This window comes from Homo sapiens, chromosome 13 (genome assembly GCF_000001405.40).
Source record: "Homo sapiens chromosome 13, GRCh38.p14 Primary Assembly".
NCBI classification, from domain to species: Eukaryota; Metazoa; Chordata; class Mammalia; order Primates; family Hominidae; genus Homo; species Homo sapiens.
In genome coordinates this window covers 95,966,749-95,985,435 of record NC_000013.11, presented here as the reverse complement: position 1 = coordinate 95,985,435, position 18,687 = coordinate 95,966,749, and the positions used below count along the sequence as shown (strand labels likewise).

At 37.0% G+C, this 18,687-nt stretch overlaps 1 protein-coding gene across 13 annotated transcripts in view; it reads left to right on the top strand.

Moving 5' to 3' along the window:
* The window catches only part of UGGT2 (UDP-glucose glycoprotein glucosyltransferase 2), a 251,822-nt gene that overhangs the window by 67,966 nt on the left and 165,169 nt on the right, over positions 1-18,687 (top strand). For 11 of the 13 annotated variants that reach the window (XR_931617.2, XM_047430471.1, NM_020121.4 and 8 more), the window contains 3 exons: positions 1,572-1,632; positions 12,765-12,856; positions 15,174-15,324. Coding sequence is in view for 12 of the 13 variants with exons in the window: in XM_047430471.1 (XP_047286427.1) it covers positions 1,572-1,632; positions 12,765-12,856; positions 15,174-15,324 (304 nt within the window). In the remaining variant the exon portion in view is untranslated. Of the gene's footprint in view, positions 1-107; positions 198-1,571; positions 1,633-12,764; positions 12,857-15,173; positions 15,325-18,687 lie in introns of those variants that run through there. The other 2 variants (XM_011521099.3, XM_047430474.1) reach the window with 2 other exon arrangements.

The following is an 18,687-nucleotide window of genomic DNA, read 5'->3' as shown; positions in this document are numbered from 1 at the left end:
AATTTTGAAAGTAAATAAATAGTACATGGTTGGCTACAAGATACCAAGGATTTTTTGGTGGTACCTTGAAATAAAGGAGTTTGTTTCCTTATTTACAGATTAAGAATGAATATATTGATATGCCTCTTTCAGTCAACTTTAAATGTCAAGAATTTGAGAAGTCGTCATTTATATAATAAAACATGAAATATATATGGGTGTGTATAAATGTCATATCTGTTTAGCCATAATATTTTAATTAATGGCCGTTATAAAAATTATTAGATCAAATACAAATAAAGTAAAATAACTTTAGTCTTGATCAGACAGTTGATTAGCTCTATTGATGCTAAGTCAGTATAACTGTTCAGAGGTTCTGATGCAAAACTCTGCTGTTAATCTGTAATTAAGAAAAAATTATAAAATATGCTAACATTGCTTAATGGCTAAATTGTAGGCTTGAGCATATCTCTAAAACCACTTGGTAGACAATCTGTAAATGTTTGTTGAAATGAAATATTTGCTAAATAAATGAAAAATTTGCCTTATTAAATTTTTAATTGTAATTTCTCACAATGCTGCCAAACTTTAGGAAATAATATATACTTATTGTGGGCTGTTTCAAGGTACACCTTTCTACTTGAGTTTTCCTTAAAGCAGAACTTTGCATTAACAATCTTTTAATTTTTTAATTCTATTTATAAAATTTGTAAAAGCTAGTCATGTTTAGGAATTATCAAGTTGAATACAGTCCATAGGAACTGTATTTTGAACACTTCTGCTGTCTTTAAATTATAAGTGAATTATAAACTCTTCAAGAGTGAATAGGCTGGGTGCAATGGCTCGCACCTATAATTTCAGCACTTTGGGAGGTGGCAGTAGGAGGGTCACTTGAGGCCAGGAGTTTTAGACCAACCCGGGCAACATAGGAAGACTCCATCTCTAGAAGAAAATTGAAAAATTAGCTGGATGTGGTGGTGTGTACCTGTAGTCCTATCTAATTGAGAGGCTGAGGCAGGAGAATCACTTGAGCCCAGGAACCCGAGACTACAGTGAGTTGTGATCATGCCACTGCAGTCCTGCTGGGTAGAAGAGTGAGACTCTGTCTCTAAAAAAATGTTTTTAATAAACAAATTGAAAAAATTGAAAGAGTGAGTGATGTAAAGCCATGATTTCAGTTTTTTAGAACATTTCTACTCTGGTAGGTTCCCAGGTTAACTAAAAAATTCTTCATGTACGTATATTCATGTACTTATACATTGGTAATTTCATACAAAATTTCTCTATTGGGCAAAATAACGCAAAACAGCTTTTTCAATGAAGTGTTTTCAAAAAATAAGTCATAGTAAATGATGACAATCCATACTGCATACAGCTAGTACACATGAAATTTTGAGAACCTCCATTCCACTTGAACCAAATACTTTTGTCAAATGAAAGCTAAATTAGGCCATATGGAAATGTATACTTTTCAGTCACAAAGGATTTGGAGTTTTTAGCTTCTTATCCAAAGTATTAGATTACATTGGGTTATATAGATCAGTTCTAAACATTTAAGGAAGGATCAATTATATTAGTATTCATTTTTCCAGATCTCTAACCAGAATTGCTGTAAATCAACATATGAGAGAAGAAATAAAGGAAAATCAAAAGGTTTGTTTGAATTCCTTTTTTAAAACATTTACCCAACTAATATCACTGTTTCTGACTTTGGATCTTCAATATTCATACAAAAAAGGAAATAGTAATTTGTGCTTTTTTGATTATTAAAACAGTCTGGGTTCTTCTATTTTTATACTGTGGACTATATGAGCATTTAATCAGCCAATCTTTTCTGACATACCTTCTACTTATTTCACAGTATATTCCAGAATTTCTTCCGAGGTAGTATGGTTTTCTTCATAGGATAAAGAATAAAGGCTGTGAGTTAATTATTCTGTTTCTTGTAATTAGTTTTGCTTAAAAGCTTGTGAAGACTGAGTCAGTGTTAGACCACTGGAACGGTAGAATCCTATAGCAGATAGAATACAATTTATCAGTGGTTTGATAAGATTCTGCCAAATGGTATCTTAAATTATCCATAGACCCCAAATAATTCTAGTTGTGTTAATATTTGTAAAGTGCTTACACCACTGCCTGGCTTTATTACATAGGACCGGTTTGGCTTTAAGTAGTATCATACCAGACTCACAGGGCCCTAAACACTAGGAGTTCATTTTTCTCACTTCTTACCTGTATTTAAAGCCAAAAGAGGCAGGGTGGATGGTACCAACCACATTTATCCTCACTAAAGCCTTCTTGGAACATTTTAGCAGACTGGTTTCTATCTCATTGGTGAGGATTTTGCCATGTGGCCACCTTAGGCTGCGCGGGAAGCTAGAAAAGCTAGTGTTTACTTTTCTAATAACGAAGCAAAGGAGAAGTGGCCTGGGTATGGTGCTAACTTAGCCAGCCAGCAGTGCCCATCATACTGAGACAGAGTGAGCTGTCAACAAATGTCAGCTGTTTTGATGACAACTACAATGATGGTAATGAAGAAAAAGATGCATAGTTCATTGGAGAACAGGTGTTAGGAACCACAACACATCATTCCTACCTGGGACATTCTTTGCCTCATTGACCACCTTACAAATTCCTGTGTATCCTTCAAAACGGATTTGTGGTATTGGTCCATTCTATGATGTTCCTAATTGTTCTTACCATTCTTCATGCAGAATGGATTGTTTTCTTATGACACACAAAGGAGTGGGTTTGGGAGTGGAGGCTTAATACGCAAAAGAAAGAGAAAGGAGAACAGCTCTCTCTCTCTTATGAGAGAGAGGGGCACCTGAATGGGAATTCGGGCTGCCTACAGAGTGCACTGGATTTTACAAATAGGCTTGAGGAGGCGGTGTCTGATTTACATAGGGCCCACAAATTGGTTGGAGCAGGTATGATGTTTTACATAATGCATGGGGAAGGCTGACCACTCCACCCTATTATGCATATGGGCTTTCCACTTGGCTGCTGCCATGTTATCTGCTTCTTACTGTACATGTGGACTGGAAAGAAGGGAAGATGGAGCTGCCGTTTTGAACATGCCTGGTCCCAGGTAACCTGTTCCTACTGGCACAATGCCAGCATTTACCTATGCAAGCTTCTAGCTTGCTTGCCTGTGTCTGCAGCTCGATTTTACAGGCTGTTCTTTGTTAGAAAATAAAATGATTTGGGGGCGGCTTTTCATTAAAAGGAAAACCTTACCGAGGACTCACTATCTGCCTAAATAATTTCTTCCTAACTGCTATATCAGAACCATGCTGGCAACCTGAGTATGCCAGCTTACTCAGGGCCACTATGGCCATCACCTTATCTACCTGTCAGCCATTTGGAATTGGCAGTGAAAGAGTTTTGAAATGAGCTTTGACTGCAGAGCAAGAAATCTTGAATTTAGTAAACTAAATAATCATGACACTGCAGATAGTCTTCTTGATCACCTACTACTTCCAGAGAACACTGAAAAGAGAAAGACAAGGATGATAATGTCTTTCATGTAACTAATCTAGGCTAAATGGGTATTTGGACTAGCAGTCCATGTTACCCACTAGCTCATGAGATGTGGGAGAAGTAATTAAAGAAACTGAAGTTCCAACCTTGGGGAAGAGGGTGGTTGTGATGAGAAGGTAAGAAAATCTTGGACTATTCATTGCAATTGCATTGCACACGGATTGGACACGAGAAAGCCCTGGAAATGTGTTTCTGTTACAGCATCTCATCCATACAAACCGAAAAGTACATTTCCTGCAAAACATGTAAACAAAATGTTCACCGAAAAAAGAAGTAATAATGGTCTTTTTTTCTTCTTCTTCTCATGCTGCAGTTTATTTACACCAGGTCAATTGCTCTGGTGTAAATTACACTTTTTAAGGATTTACTTAAGAAATTTGAAGGATTTTCCTCTGGGTCTGGGACTAAACTAAAACAAAAGTGTCTTTTTTTTTTTTTTTTTTTTTTTTTGAGACGGAGTCTCGCTCTGTCGCCCAGGCTGGAGTGCAGTGGCGCGACCTCGGCTCACTGCAAGCTCCGCCTCCCGGGTTCACGCCATTCTCCTGCCTCAGCCTCCCGAGTAGCCGGGACCACAGGCGCGCGCCACCACGCCCGGCTAATTTTTTGTATTTTTAGTAGAGGCGGGGTTTCACCGCGTTAGCCAGGATGGTCTCGATCTCCTGACCTCATGATCCGCCCGCCTCTGCCTCCCAAAGTGCTGGGATTACAGGCGTGAGCCACCGCGCCCGGCCAACAAAAGTGTCTTAAGCATAATTTTTCTCACTTGGGGGTACTGCAGAGCTCCTGGCTTTACTTAAGGAGATAAAGAGGATATGACCTTCGAGTAGAGGAGATAAGAAACATTTAGTTTAAAATAAATACATAAATAAAAGAAACATCCTGCCCACAAATATAAAAGGAAACAGGAAGAATCTTTGAGATGGAGTCTTGCTCTGTCACCCAGGCTGGAGTGCAGTGGCATGATCTTGGCTCACTGCAGCCTCTGCCTCCCGGGTTCCAGCAATTCTCCTGCCTCAGCCTCCTTGGGTAGCTGGGATTACAGGTACACGCCACCACACCCGGCTAATTTTTGTATTTTTAGTAGAGACAGGGTTTCGCCATGTTGGCCAGGCTGGTCACGAACTCCTGACCTCAGGTAATCTGCCCCGCCTTGGCCTCCCAAGAATCTTGATTCCAAAGCGACATCCAGCTCTGAAGAGCACACACTGTGGATGCTGGGCTGCTCCATCTTCCCACTAGAGGGCGCAAAGGCTTTAGTTAAAAACCAAGCCAAACCCAAACCATCTACTTTGATCAGTTGTTTGTTTTAATTTCAGTAGGTTTTTTGGGAACAGATGGTGTTTAGTTACATCAATAAGTTATTTAGTGGTGATTTCTGAGATTTTGGTGCACCCATCACCTGAACAGTGTACCTGGTACCCAATGTGTAGTCTTTGATCTCTTGCCACCCCCCGCCCTTTCCCCCGAGTCCCCAAAGTCCAATGTATCATTCTTATGTCTTTGCATCCTCAAAGCTTAGCTCCCACATATGAGTGAGAACATATGATGTTTGGTTTTCCATTCCTGAGTTACTTCAGTTAGAATGATAGTCTTCGATTCCATCCAGGTTGCACAAATGCCATTTCATTCCTTTTTATGGCTGAGTAGTATTCCGTGGTATGTATAGGGTATTTGGGCTGATTCCATATTTTTGCAATTGCATATTGTTCTGCTATAAACATGCATATGCAAGTATCTTTTTCATATAATGACTTCCCCCCCACCCCTCTGGGCAGTTACCTAGTAGTGGGATTGCTAGATCAAATGGTAGATCTGCTTTTACGAATCTCCACATTGTTTTCCATAGTGATTGTACTAGTTTACATTCCCACCAACATTGTAAAAGTGTTCCCTTTTCACCACATCCGTGCCAACATCTGTTACTTTTTGGTTTTTTAAATTATACCCATTCTTGTAGGAGTGAGGTGGTATTGCATTGTGGTTTTGATTTGCATTTCTCTGATACTTAGTGATGTTGAGCATTTTTCCATATGCTTGTTGCCCACTTGTATATCTTCTTTTGAGAATTGTCTAATTCATGTTCTTAGCCCACTTTTTGATGGGATTTTTTTTTCTTGCTGATTTGAGTTCTGTGTAGATTCTGGATATTAGTCCTTTTTCGGATGTGTAGATTGTGAAGATTTTCTCCCACTCTGGGCTGTCTGCTAACTCTGCTGTCCTTTTTAATTTAAGGTCTTTAAATACATAATAACAATCTTTCCTTACTCATAATAAGAAGAATACAGATCAGAATTAAACTGAGAAAGAAAGATTTCAAAAAGTTGGCAGGGCATTCTGTAAGCAAGTCTGTATTTTTTTTTTTTTTGCGTAAGAGACCAGGGGAAATGAGAATATATATTTACCTATTCTAGTTTTTGCATGAAGAAATACTAGAGGATGGAGAAGAAACTTTGGGAGAAAATTTTGCCTATAAGAGCCAGGGATGAAACGGGTGAAGGGTGCCAGGATTGGCATAATTCTTCTAGTGTAGCTTTTTATATAGTTTTTGACTTGGGACTCAAGCAAAGATTATTCAAAAACTATGACTATGCTCAAGTTGTATAACTGAATTTGAGTTTGGTTTTATTTAGGAGACAACTGCTTTAACTCCAAAGTACAGCAAATTTCCTTTGGAAGTTCATAATTGTTGTTAATTTGCTGTGAGTGGCCAGAATCTGCTTTTGGTGATTTTAAATTGTCAACCCAACATACGTCTTTGTTGTTTATTGCAAGAATTGTTATAGTCCATGACATTTTTTATTTGCTTCAAAATAAAATGAGGATATGATCAGGTGGTCAGGTAACTTTTTATGATTCAGCAGAGTGGAACAAATAATTTCAATTACATAATTGCTTAATGAACCAAATGCAGATACTTGAATTAACTAAAATGCAGATATTCAAATAAAGGATTGCACCTTACCCAAATAAAAGTTGATGTTGCTTCTAATTATTTCTAACTACTTTGTGTGAGAATTATACAGAGTTCTGGAGACATTACCTATATTAGAACATCATCTCTCAAAACTACATCTGTAAATCATACTTTTTAAGTCTTATCTTGTCTTATTCCTTATTCTGAAAATGACAACATTTCTATTAAGATTTATATCTGATTTGACTTCAAATTTTAATCGTAAAGAATGAAACTAGACCCCCATCTCTCACCATATACGAAAATCAAATCAATAGGGGTTAAAGACTTAAATGTGAGACCTGAAACTGTGAAACTGCTAGAAGAAAACATTGGGGAAATGCTTTAGGACATTGGTCTATGCAAAAATTTCTTGAGTAAGAACTGAAAAGCACAGGCAACCAAAGCAATTTGGACAAATGGGATCATATCAAGATAAAAATGTTCTGTACAGAGAAGGAAGCAGTCAACAAAGTGAAGAGAAAATCTACAGAATGGGACAGAGTATTTTCAGATTATTCAACAGTCAAGGGATTGATAACCAGAATATATAAGGAGCTCAAACAACAGCAAAACAATGAATAATCTAATTTTAAAATAGGCAAAAAATTTGAATAGGCATTTCTCAAAAGAAGGCATACAGATGGCCAACAGTGATGCTCACCATCACTAATCGTCAGGGAAATGCAAATCAAAACCACAATGAGATAGTGTCTCACGTGTTAAAATGACTTTTTTCTTTTTTGTAAGTTTGCTCTTTTTTTAATTTTAATTTTACTTTAAGTTCTGGGATACATATGCAGAACATGCGGGTTTGTTACGTAGGTACACTTGTGCCATGGTGGTTTGCTGCCCCTATCAACCCATCATCTAGGTTTTGAGCCCTGCATACTTTAGGTATTTGTCCTAATGCTCTCTCTCCCCTTGCCCCCTACCCCCTGGCAGGCCACATGTGTCCATGTGTTCTCATTGTTCATCTCCCACTTATGAGTGAGAACATGCAGTGTTTCACTTTCTGTTCCTATGTTAGTTTGCTGAGAATGATGGCTTCTAGCTTCATCCATGTCCCTGCAAAGGACATGAACTCATTCTTTTCTATGACTGCATAGTATTCCATGGTGTACATGTGCCACATTTTCTTTATCCAGTCTATCATTGATGAGCATTTGGGTTGGTTCCAAGTCTTTGCTGTTGTAAATAATGCTGCAATAAACATACGTGTGCATTTGTCTTTATGGTAGAATGATTTATAATCCTTTGGGTATATACCCACTAATGGGACTGCTGGGTCAAATGGTATTTCTGGTTCTAGATTCTTGAGGAATCGACACTGTCTTCTACAATGGTTTAACTAATTTAAATTCCCATCAATAGTGTAAAAGCATTCCTGTTTCTCCACATCCTCTCCAGCATCTGTTGTTTCCTGACTTTTTAATGATCACCATTCTAACTGGCATGAGATGGTATCTCATTGTGGTTTTGATTTGCATTTCTCTAGTGATAATGAACTTTTTTTCTTATGTTTGTTGGCTGCATAGATGTCCTCTTTTGAGAAGTGTCTGTTCATATCCTTCGCCCACTTTCTGATGGAGTTGTTTGTTTTTTCTTGTAAATTTGTTTAAGTTCCTTGTAGATTCTGGATATTAGACCTTTGTCAGATGGGTAGATTGCAAAGACTTTCTCCCATTCTGTAGGTTGCCTGTTCACTCTGATGATAGTTTCTTTTGCTGTGCAGAAGCTCTGTAGTTTGATTAGATCCCATTAGTCAATTTTGGCTTTTGTTGGAATTGCTTTTTGGTATTTTAGTCATGAAGTCTTTGCCCATGCCTGTGTCCTGAATGATATTGCCTAAGTTTTCTTCTAGGATTTTTATGGTTTTAGGTTTTACATGTAAGTCTTTAATCTATCTTGAGTTAGTTTTTGTATAAGGTGTAAGGAAGGGGTCCAGTTTCTGTTTTCTGCATATGGCTAGCCAGTTTTCCTAGCACCATTTATTAAATAGGGAATCCTTTCCTCATTGCTTGTTTTTGTCAGGTTTGTCGAAGATCAGATGGTTGTAGATGTGTGGTGTTGTTTCTGAGACCTCTGTTTTCTTCCTTTGATCTATGTATCTGTTTTGGTACCAGTACCATGCGGTTTTAGTTACTGTAGCCTTGTAGTATAGTTTGAAGTCAGCGTGATGCCTCCAGCTATGTTGTTTTTGCTTTGGATTGTCTTGGCTATACGGGCTCTTTTCTGGTTCCATATGAAATTTAAAGTAGTTTTTTCTAATTCTGTGAAGAAAGTTGATGGTAGCTTGATGGGAATAGCATTGAATCCATAAATTACTTTGGACAGTATGGAAAATGGCTTTTTTCTAAAACAAAAAAAATAACAGATTCTGGGAAGGATACAGAGAAAGGGGAACCCTTGTGCACTGTTGGTGGGAATGTACATTAGTAAAGCCACAATGGAAAACAGTAGTATAGAGGTTCACAAAAAAAATGAAAAATAGAATTACCATATGATCCAGGAATCCCACTGCTGGATATATACCCAAAAGTAAGGAAATTAGTATATCAAAGAGATATCTGCACTGCCATGTTTATTAAAACACTATTCACAATAGCTAAAATATGGATTCAAGCTAGGTGTCCATTAATGGATGGGTGGATAAAGGAAATTTGGTACATAGACACAATGGAATATTATTTAGTCATAAAAAAGAAATCCTGTCATCTTTAGCAACAATAGAGGACATTATGTTAAGTGAAATAAGCCATACACAGAAAGACATACTACAAGTTATTACTCATATGTGAGAGCTAAAAACACTGATCTCATGGAGGTAGAGAGTAGAACGATGGTTATTGGAGGCTGGGGAAAATGAGGAGGGGTTGGTTAATGGGTGCAAAAATACAGTCAGGAATAAGATCTATTCATTAGCATAATAGGGTGATTATGCTTAACATTAATTTATTGTATACTTTAACTGGAAGAGTGGATTTGGAATGTCCCCTACATTAAGAAATGGTAAATATTTGAGATGATGGATATCCCAATTACCCTGCTTTGATCATTACACATTATATGCTTCTATCAAAATATCACAAGATCTCCATAAATGTGTACAACTATTATGTACCCGTGAAAATTAAAAATAAAATTTTTAAGAAAAATTTAAATTTCAGAGTGTGTATCATTTCACCTTAGGAACACCCAAACATGTTTATAAACCATTTTAACATTGTAAATCTCAACCAGTCTTCTGAGATCCAATCAATTGGAATTTCTTTAGCTTCAGGTAATAGCTCAGCTCCATTGGTTATTAAAGAGACATATTAGAATAAATGGGTTCCCTCTTCTTTAAGGAAAAATGAGCTTATATTTCTTCATTAGGATTTGCATTTATTTCTGCTCAAGCCTAAGAGGGCTGCTAGTTTCATTGCACTTTAAATACAAAAATCTAAGTTTTTTGGACTATAAATATAGTATGAAATCCAGCTCCAAACCCATATGAAAATAAGCTAGAGGCCATGAATTCATTTGGGAGACTTACTCTTCCTCCACCAAGAACCAAGGTGAGGTAGACAAATTTCTATGCTGTTACTGCAGAGCATTTTGTTTTCTAATTCACCTTTTCACCATAAGTGTAGCACTTTATGTGTGCATAAGGATATCTGGATGTGGGTCCTGGATTTAAATTTCTTGTTCTTCTGAGATTGGCCCTTAAAAACCCAAATCCTAGGTCATCTAGGAAGCTCTAAATTTCCTCCAGGCAAGGTCTTTAGTGTTTATTTACATCTCTATATTCATATTCCTACTTCCTCTCTGTCCTTAGGTGAATACTTTCTTCAACTCAGAGCCGCATTTAGGGGACATTTTTCATATTTATTTTTTTGAGACAGAGTATCGCTCTATCATCCAGGATGGAGTGCAGTGGTGCGATCTCAGCTCACTGCAACCTCCACCTCCTGGGATGAAGCGATTCTCTTGCCTCAGCCTCCCGAGTACTGGGACTACAGGCATGCACCACCACACCCAGCTAATTTTTCTATTTTTGATAGAAACAGGGTTTCACCATGTTGGACAGGCTGGTCTCATACTCCTGACCTCAAGTGATCCACCAGCCTCAGCCTCCCAAAGTGCTGGGATAACAGGTGTGAGCCACCGCACCCAGTCTCATTATTAATATTTAAATCTAGCATTTTGATACTTTTAGTAAGAAAATGTTTGGATCTTTGGTTCATCATGTTGCTAGAAATTGAATTCTTACTCCTCATTTAAGAAAGGCCACCTTAAATTACATACTCAAATATACACTAGTTTTTCAGGACTTAAGGGTAACTCTCTGGGGCAGAGGAAAGAGAAGAATTTGTAATTACTTATCTCTGATAGGCAAACCTCTTCTCTCTGACAGTGTTTGAGCAAGCAGACTTGCTGAGTTCAGTCTGTTACCTGTTTTCTGAGCATTATTGTTCAAGGCCCTGGGCCTGACATAAACAGTCTTGAGGGATTTAGCAATTTAATATGGATCTGCATGCTTGGTGTACTTTGTACTTACAATTGAGCTCCACTAAAACGAATGTATGAGGTGCTGGAGAAAGCTTCAATCAGGGTGTGTGAAGTTTCGATGCCAGATTGGGGGAAAACAGCAGGAAATATAAATTCACTAGGCATCTGTAGATTTTGAAGTTGGAATATGGATTTCTTAATTAACTTTGATAGGCACATCTAAAGTAGCTAAAGACAAATAAAAATTTTACCTCTGAACCTTTTCATATCAGGGTTTAATCTTTTGCCAGTATTCTGTATAAAACAAGTAGAAATACTTTAAGTTCTTCTCCCTCCTCTGTGTGTAGCTCATCTGTTGAGTGATAATCGTACAGAAAAATTCACCATTGTCAAGCTTTCTCTGAATCTCTTCAAGTTAGTTGCTTCCTCTGCCTTTACAGAGTAGTTCACACAAGTCCCTATTATGTGACTTATCATATGATGTTGAAATACACTGGTTGTTTTTCCTCCTAAATATATTTGCCTACCCTGATAATAACAGCTTTCATTTGTGAGCACTTTATAGGTGACAAGACATAGATGTATATTACATTTAAACTATAGCAAACATGTGAGATAGATATAATTATTCCCATTTTATAGATGAGGAAACTGAGGATTATGAAAGTGATTTGAACTTGCCCAAATCTTAACAGCTAATAAGTAGAAAGATCAGGATTAAACCAAGCATGATCTTCACACTGTGATCTTGACAACCGTACTGGATACTTACACTGTGATCTTGACTACTTTGCTTTAGTGACAAGAACATCCCCCTTTTTACTTTTGTTAACTGTTCTAGCGCCTGGAGATGTTTCTAGAACATAGCAGGCACTCAGGAAATGTTTACTGAATGAAAGACAGTGAAAAATCAAATATAGCTTTAATGGAAACTTTTATGAATTTAGAGTGAGCTCCAAATATTTACACATAAATCAAAGTTTTACTTTTGGCATATCATTGCCTCAAGAAATAGGAATGTGCCAACTAGCAAATTGTATATGTACACATACACACACTATATGAAATGTAGATAAGTAATTATTGTAACATTAGAACTGTAATATCATGTATTGTAAAATCAGAATATTCAGGTATTGAATTTTATCTCTAATCTATCTTAAGATTCCCCCCATCACTGAGATCAGGGCTGGGCAAACTGCTACCTTTAGGCCAAATATGGTCTGCCACCTATTTTTATAAATAAAAGCTTAATTTTTATTTTTATTTATTATTTATTATTTTATTTATTTTTTTGAGATGGAGTTTCGTTCTTGTTGCCCAGGCTGGAGTGCAATGGTGCAATCTTGGCTCACTGCAACCTCCGCCTCCTGGATTCAAGTGATTCTCCTGCCTCAGCCTCCCAAGTAGCTGGGATTACGGGCATGTGCCACCACGCCCAGCTAATTTTTTGTGTTTAGTAGAGATGGGGTTTCACCATGTTGGTCAGGGTGGTCTTGAACTCCTGACCTCAGGTGATCCACCCACCTCGGCCTCCCAAAGTTCTGGCATTACAGGCGTAAGCCGCCACGCCTGGCCTAAAAGCTTAATTTTTACAATAAACATTGCAATGTCCATTTGTTTACATAGTATCTAAAGATACAAAGGCAGAGATCAATAATTGCAACAGAGACTGTATGGCCTGCCAAACCTAAAATATTTACTCTCTGACTCTTTATAGAAATAATATGGTGACCCCTAATATAGGTCACTATTGTTCTATCACTGGTTAACTATTGCTTTGCTCTACTTCAAGGATCTTCAAGTTAGATTTAAAATTCAGCCAGGCGATGCTCGTCTATTTATAAATGGCCTTCGTGTTGATATGGATGTTTATGACGCTTTTAGGTAAGTATTAAATTATTGCTGTAAATGAACTATGGTTTATATAAAAATAAACATTGTCTTGAATTTAGTGTAAGTCAAAATATGAAGATCACTTTAAAGATAAATACATGTTTTTGATTGTACAAAACAGCTTTCTTCTACCAAAATGGGCAAGCCCAAAGTGTCTTAGAATATCAGAACTGGGAGAAACAGTCAAGATATTTGTTTGGATGAGGGTTAGACCTATAATTACTTTGTTATTCTAAACTGTCTCTTATTGAAGAGTAGATTGATGATTTGCAGAGAAGTTATTTGGAACTGGACTGAACAACCAGATACCAGATAAGGACTGAAGTCAACATGGGGTATTTCCCCAGAAGACAGAAATTGACAAGAGGAATTTAAAATGCTTGTATTTGAATGCTGGATGCTATCTGGTTTCTTGTCAAAAAAAAAAAAAAAAATTCTTCAAAATTTTTTTGCTCAGAATTTTGAACAGGACAGAATTAGGAAGTCCTTGCTTTATCAATGGTCACTCACCCAAAATTACAGTTGTGGGCCAAACAGAAGAGTTACTTTTATAGAGAAACATAAAACTACATTAAAATTAATATTTGAAACATTAGATGAACTTAGGATACATGATACTTTAATTCAGATGTTCAGTTTTAATTCAATTGAATATACTTTTGTTGAAGTGAAATTATTTGAATTGTTTATTTAAATTCTTACCAGTTTGGAAATACGTTGGAAAATATATTGGAAAGACTGAGAAGTAGTTTTACTGAACATTTTTTACAGTTTTATCTCAAATGGGGCTTTTCTCTTTAGTTACTTGAATTCTTGGACCTAGTATTGTAAAAATAATAAGATAGATACATATAATACACATAGAAAGAGTAGAGAAGTTTGTAAATGCTAGCCTGTAAATTTCAGGGGAACAAAAATTATATATGTGCCCAGCAGCAGTGAAAACAGGTTTAAAGGAAGTAGTGAAATGGTATGTAGATTTTAGAAAGTTTTCTAAGGTAGTGTATGAGGAAATTTTTATGGCAGGAATATTTTCACGTATAATTTAGGAAGGCTGTAGGTTATTAAAAAAATAAAACCCCCCAGCTCCTACACCTGGTCATTAGTGATTTGCAGGATGTGTGCTACATTGTTATTCCTCATTGATTTGATCACTGCTTAGTGCTACCATGATTCTCTTAAAAGAGGAAGAGACAAAATGTGAGAATATTTGTGTCTTCAGAGGATGTGGAATAAAATTAATGCAAAGAGGAAGATGAATGGAAGAAAATAAGGAAATGGAAGTAAAATGTCATATTACAGAGACATTATATATAGAGAGGTTTTATGCAGCCAATACTTTGGAATCGTCCATGTGGGGAAAGAACAGGAGTAAAGGATTTATTTTGTGCTCCCTTCCTATCTCCTTTCAGTCATTGCATTACTGGGTTGTGGAGAACCAATAACATGCCCCATACATGGCCCAGCCCTTCTTGCTCTGATCCTGAGAGTAGCGGGAGGAGCCAGAGCCTCCATGGGTTAGGATTAGATCAGCATTGGTTCTATAAAGGCCTACATCTCACCCCCAGGGAGACTGAGACAGTAAGAACATGTGACTTTGACTGGGGAGAAAGGCAAGTAGGACTGATGAAGTCCATAAGCAGGGTCTTATATATCTACATTAAAACATTCTGTTCTAGCCCATTAAAGAGTCCCTTTTATATTTTTGCCTCTGAATAGTCGCCTCAGCCACAGACTTGATGAAGAGTAGTTTAAACATTTAGATTCCCCAATTTGTTGTCAATGGGGTTATTGTTGATGTTGTTGTTTACAGTAATACTTTCTATTATGTTTAAGAACTTTCAAATTATATGTAATAAAAAATTTAAATTTGTATTCAAACACACGTGAACTTCATGATTTAATGGAGCTTCCTCTGTATTAGAATTTTATACTTTATGTCTTGTTCGATCTTACATTATTTTTGTAGTAGGTTTGTCAAAAGAGTGACCTAATATTTTTTTTCTCATTTTTGGCTTTCTCAGGGCTGATCATATCCTCACTACTTTGATAAAGAATACAATAGTCTTTGTTGTTTTATCTTTTATATAATAATAAGTTTTTACTACCACTAAAATTATGTAAGTTTACTCTGGATAACTAATTAGAACTATTTGCCTTATTTCTTAATGAGTTTAATATATTTTTCCTGCTATTAATGAAGATACCAAAAAATCTCATTTCTAATGCTTTAAGACTATCAAACTTTAAAACATTTGTTTTTAATTTGGAAAATCAAAATAAAACTGTTTTTTCTTTGAATATATAGTATTTTGGATATGCTGAAATTAGAAGGAAAAATGATGAATGGCCTTCGCAATCTTGGGATCAATGGGGAAGATATGAGCAAATTTTTAAAATTAAATTCACACATTTGGGAATATACTTATGTATTAGATATTCGACATTCTTCTATAATGGTAAGTGCTTATGCTATTCCTTGTTCTAAAACCTGTAGTATACTTAAGGCTTAACATAAAATGAAGTATCGGCAGGCCTGATGATAAATGTCAGCATTTTGGAACAGTTCTCAGTGAAAAGAGAAAGTCAAACTATAGACCCATCTCCTCTCCCACTTGCAGCTTCCTTCTCCTTCTTCATAGTCTCTGTTTTGTCACAAGAATACCTACTCAATCTCATTCAGTGTCTTTTCCACCTTCAGAGATAACAACAGAATAACCACATGAACAATAACAACAAGACACCAAATACATGGTTAAAATCTGAGGTGTATATAAAAGTGCTACCTTAACATGATGAAAGTCCTGCCGAAACAATTTGCAGCGGCCTCCAAAGGTTCTGGTGTGTGTATTACAGCCCAAGTGATTTTTGTGAAAAACATTTGATCATATCACCCTTTCTTGCTTAAGCAGAGAAGTGGTCTTCAGTATGGCCTATGAGGCTGCAGATGGCTGCTGTCACCTTTCATTTCTTAGACTGTGAAACGTTCTTTTCACTACTATCCTTTGTCTCATGCTTAGAAAGCACTTTTTTTTTCTCTATCCAGTTAACTCCTATTCCTTTTTCAAAGTTAGGTTGAAATAGCCCTTTCTGAGAGAAACTTTCCTTAACAATCCAGATGGTTTTTTAAATCTACATGTTGTGTTAAGAGAATCCCCAGAGACCAACCTCTAATCCAGTGATTTGCTAGAAGGACTTGCAAGACCCAGAAGTTGTTATATTCATGGTTATGGCTTAGTAGAGCAAAATGATGTGAAAAAATCAGCAGGGGTGAAGTCCAGAGTAAACCAGGTATAAGCTTCCAAGAGTTCCCTCCTAGTGGAGTTGTGTGCTTAATGTGATATATGACAATGTGGGCAAAGTGCTTCCTACCAGGGAAGCTCACTTACTTGAGCCTGAGTTCAAGATTGTGAGAGACGATCCATCATGTAGACATACAGTGGCTCTCTGTACCTGCCATCAGTGGCTGAATCTCCGGACTGAGGAAAAGCAGATGTTTATTATAACTCAGATTGTATAAACTCTTTAGACAAACTGCTGGAACTGCTGCAGCATGGCTCAGGTTCCTAACTGTGCAAAACACTCTTTTATCAATCAGAACATTCCAAGAGCTTAATTATCAGGACCCAGTCAAGAGACAGTCATGTAAACAGACCCTTCTTGGGAATATCCAAGGTGTGAGCAACCCAAGCCTCTTGAGTTAACCCTTTCATACACACACACGTATATGTGTATAATGTGATTCTTCATACATGTATACATGTATGGGTATAGCACATGTATTAGGCCATGCTTACCTTGCTATAAAGAAATACCTGAGACTGGGTAATTCATAAAAAAAAGAAGTTTACTTGACTTACAGTTCTGCAGGGTTTATAGGAAGCATGGTGCCAACATCTGTTTGGCTTCTGGGAGCTTTAATTCGCAGCAGAGGGCAGAGAGGGAGCAGGTATCTCATATGGCAAGAACAGGAGTGAGAGAGAGTGTTGGAGGGTAGGTGCCATACATTTAAGCAGCCTGGTCTTGCTAGAAGTCACATCACAAAGACAACACCAAGACATGAGGGATCTGCCCCCATGACCCAACACGTCCTATCAGGCCCTACCTCCGGCATTGGGGATTACAATTCAGCGTAAGATTTGGGTGGGGACAAGTATCCAAATTATATCAGCACATATACATACATTATATGTCAGAACTATTAATCCATTCGTATACTTAGCACAGTTATAGTTTTACATTTATCCTGTGATGCTTTTATATCTGTTTTTTATTAGGCTATATATAAAGTTCTTGAAGGTAGAAATTTTTTCATTTTTTCTCTTACCATTATGTCCCTGGTTTTAGTGGTACTCAATAAATATAAATATTCCCTAAATGAATAAGTAACTATTTATCTGAAAACAACAAAAAACATCATTTTTAATGATGAAACTCTGGAAGCATTACAATTACAACATGATCAATATAATTATCCTTAAGATTTAATATTATTATAAAAGGAGTAACTGTTAGAAATGAGGAAATAAAAGTGTTGTGTGACAAGATTGTATAACTGAAACTCCTCAAAGAAAGCTATAATAAAAGGCTTTAATAAAATGGGTTTGAAGTGACATGATAAAGATCAAAAGCTTTTCTTTCAAGATCTATTTGGAAGATAATGATTTATTTACAATAACATAAAAATGTAAATACCCTAATAATAACCACTATGAAATAATATCTCAATACCTATTGATAAAAACTAGAATTTAACTGAGGACGTGTAAATCAGCATATCCTTTTAAAAAGTTATGCCTGGCCAGGCACAGTGTCTCATGCCTGTAATCCCAGCAGTTTGGGAGGCCAAGGTGGGCGGATCATGAGGTCAGGAGATTGAGACCATCCTGGCCAGCATGGTGAAACCCCGTCTCTACTAAATGTACAAAAATTAGCTGGGTGTGGTGGCACGTGTCTGTAGTCCCAGCTACTTGGGAGGCTGAGGCAGGAAAATCGCTTGAACCTGAGAGGTGGAGGTTGCAGTGAGCCAGGATCGCCCTACTGCACTCCAGCCTGGGCGATAGAGCGAGACTCCATCTCAAAAAAAAAAAAAAACAAAAAAGTTGGGGGTGCGCGTGGGGGCTGGGCGTGGTGGCTCACGCCTGTAATCCCAGCACTTTGAGGAGCACGTGGTGGGCAAATCACAAGGTCAGGAGATCAAGACCATCCTGGCCAAAATGGTGAAACCCTGTCTCTACTAAAAATACAAAAATTAGCTGGGTGTGGTGGTACGTGCCTGTAGTCCCAGCTACTTGGGAGGCTGAGGCAGGAGAATACGTTGGACCTTGGAGGCAGAGGTTGCAGTAAGCTGAAATGGTGCCACTGCACTCAAGCCTGGCAACAGAGCAAGACTCCATCTCAAAAAAAAAAAAAAAGGTTATGCCTGTGGTGCCCTTATAACGATACATAGTTTGTCTAGTAATTTCTCTCCTGGAAACTATCATAAAAAAACAGTGGGAAATGGAAAAAAAGCTTTGTGGCCAAAGATATGATTATCACTACATATTTTGAAAACAAAGTAGAAACTAGTTATCTAACAGAGAAGCGTTATAAATTTTACATTCACACAATCGAGTATTATTGACATGAAAATTATGTTTATAAATATGACTTAAGATAATGATTCTGTTAAGTAAAAAATATAGAATTATGTCATGTAAAAATATGGGCAGAAGATCAGAAGGAAATATATCAAAATTTAAGGCATTAATGGGTGATGTGGTTTAATGGGTAGTTTTAATTTTTTTCATCATGTTCTTCTGTGAATTCCAAACTTTTAACCA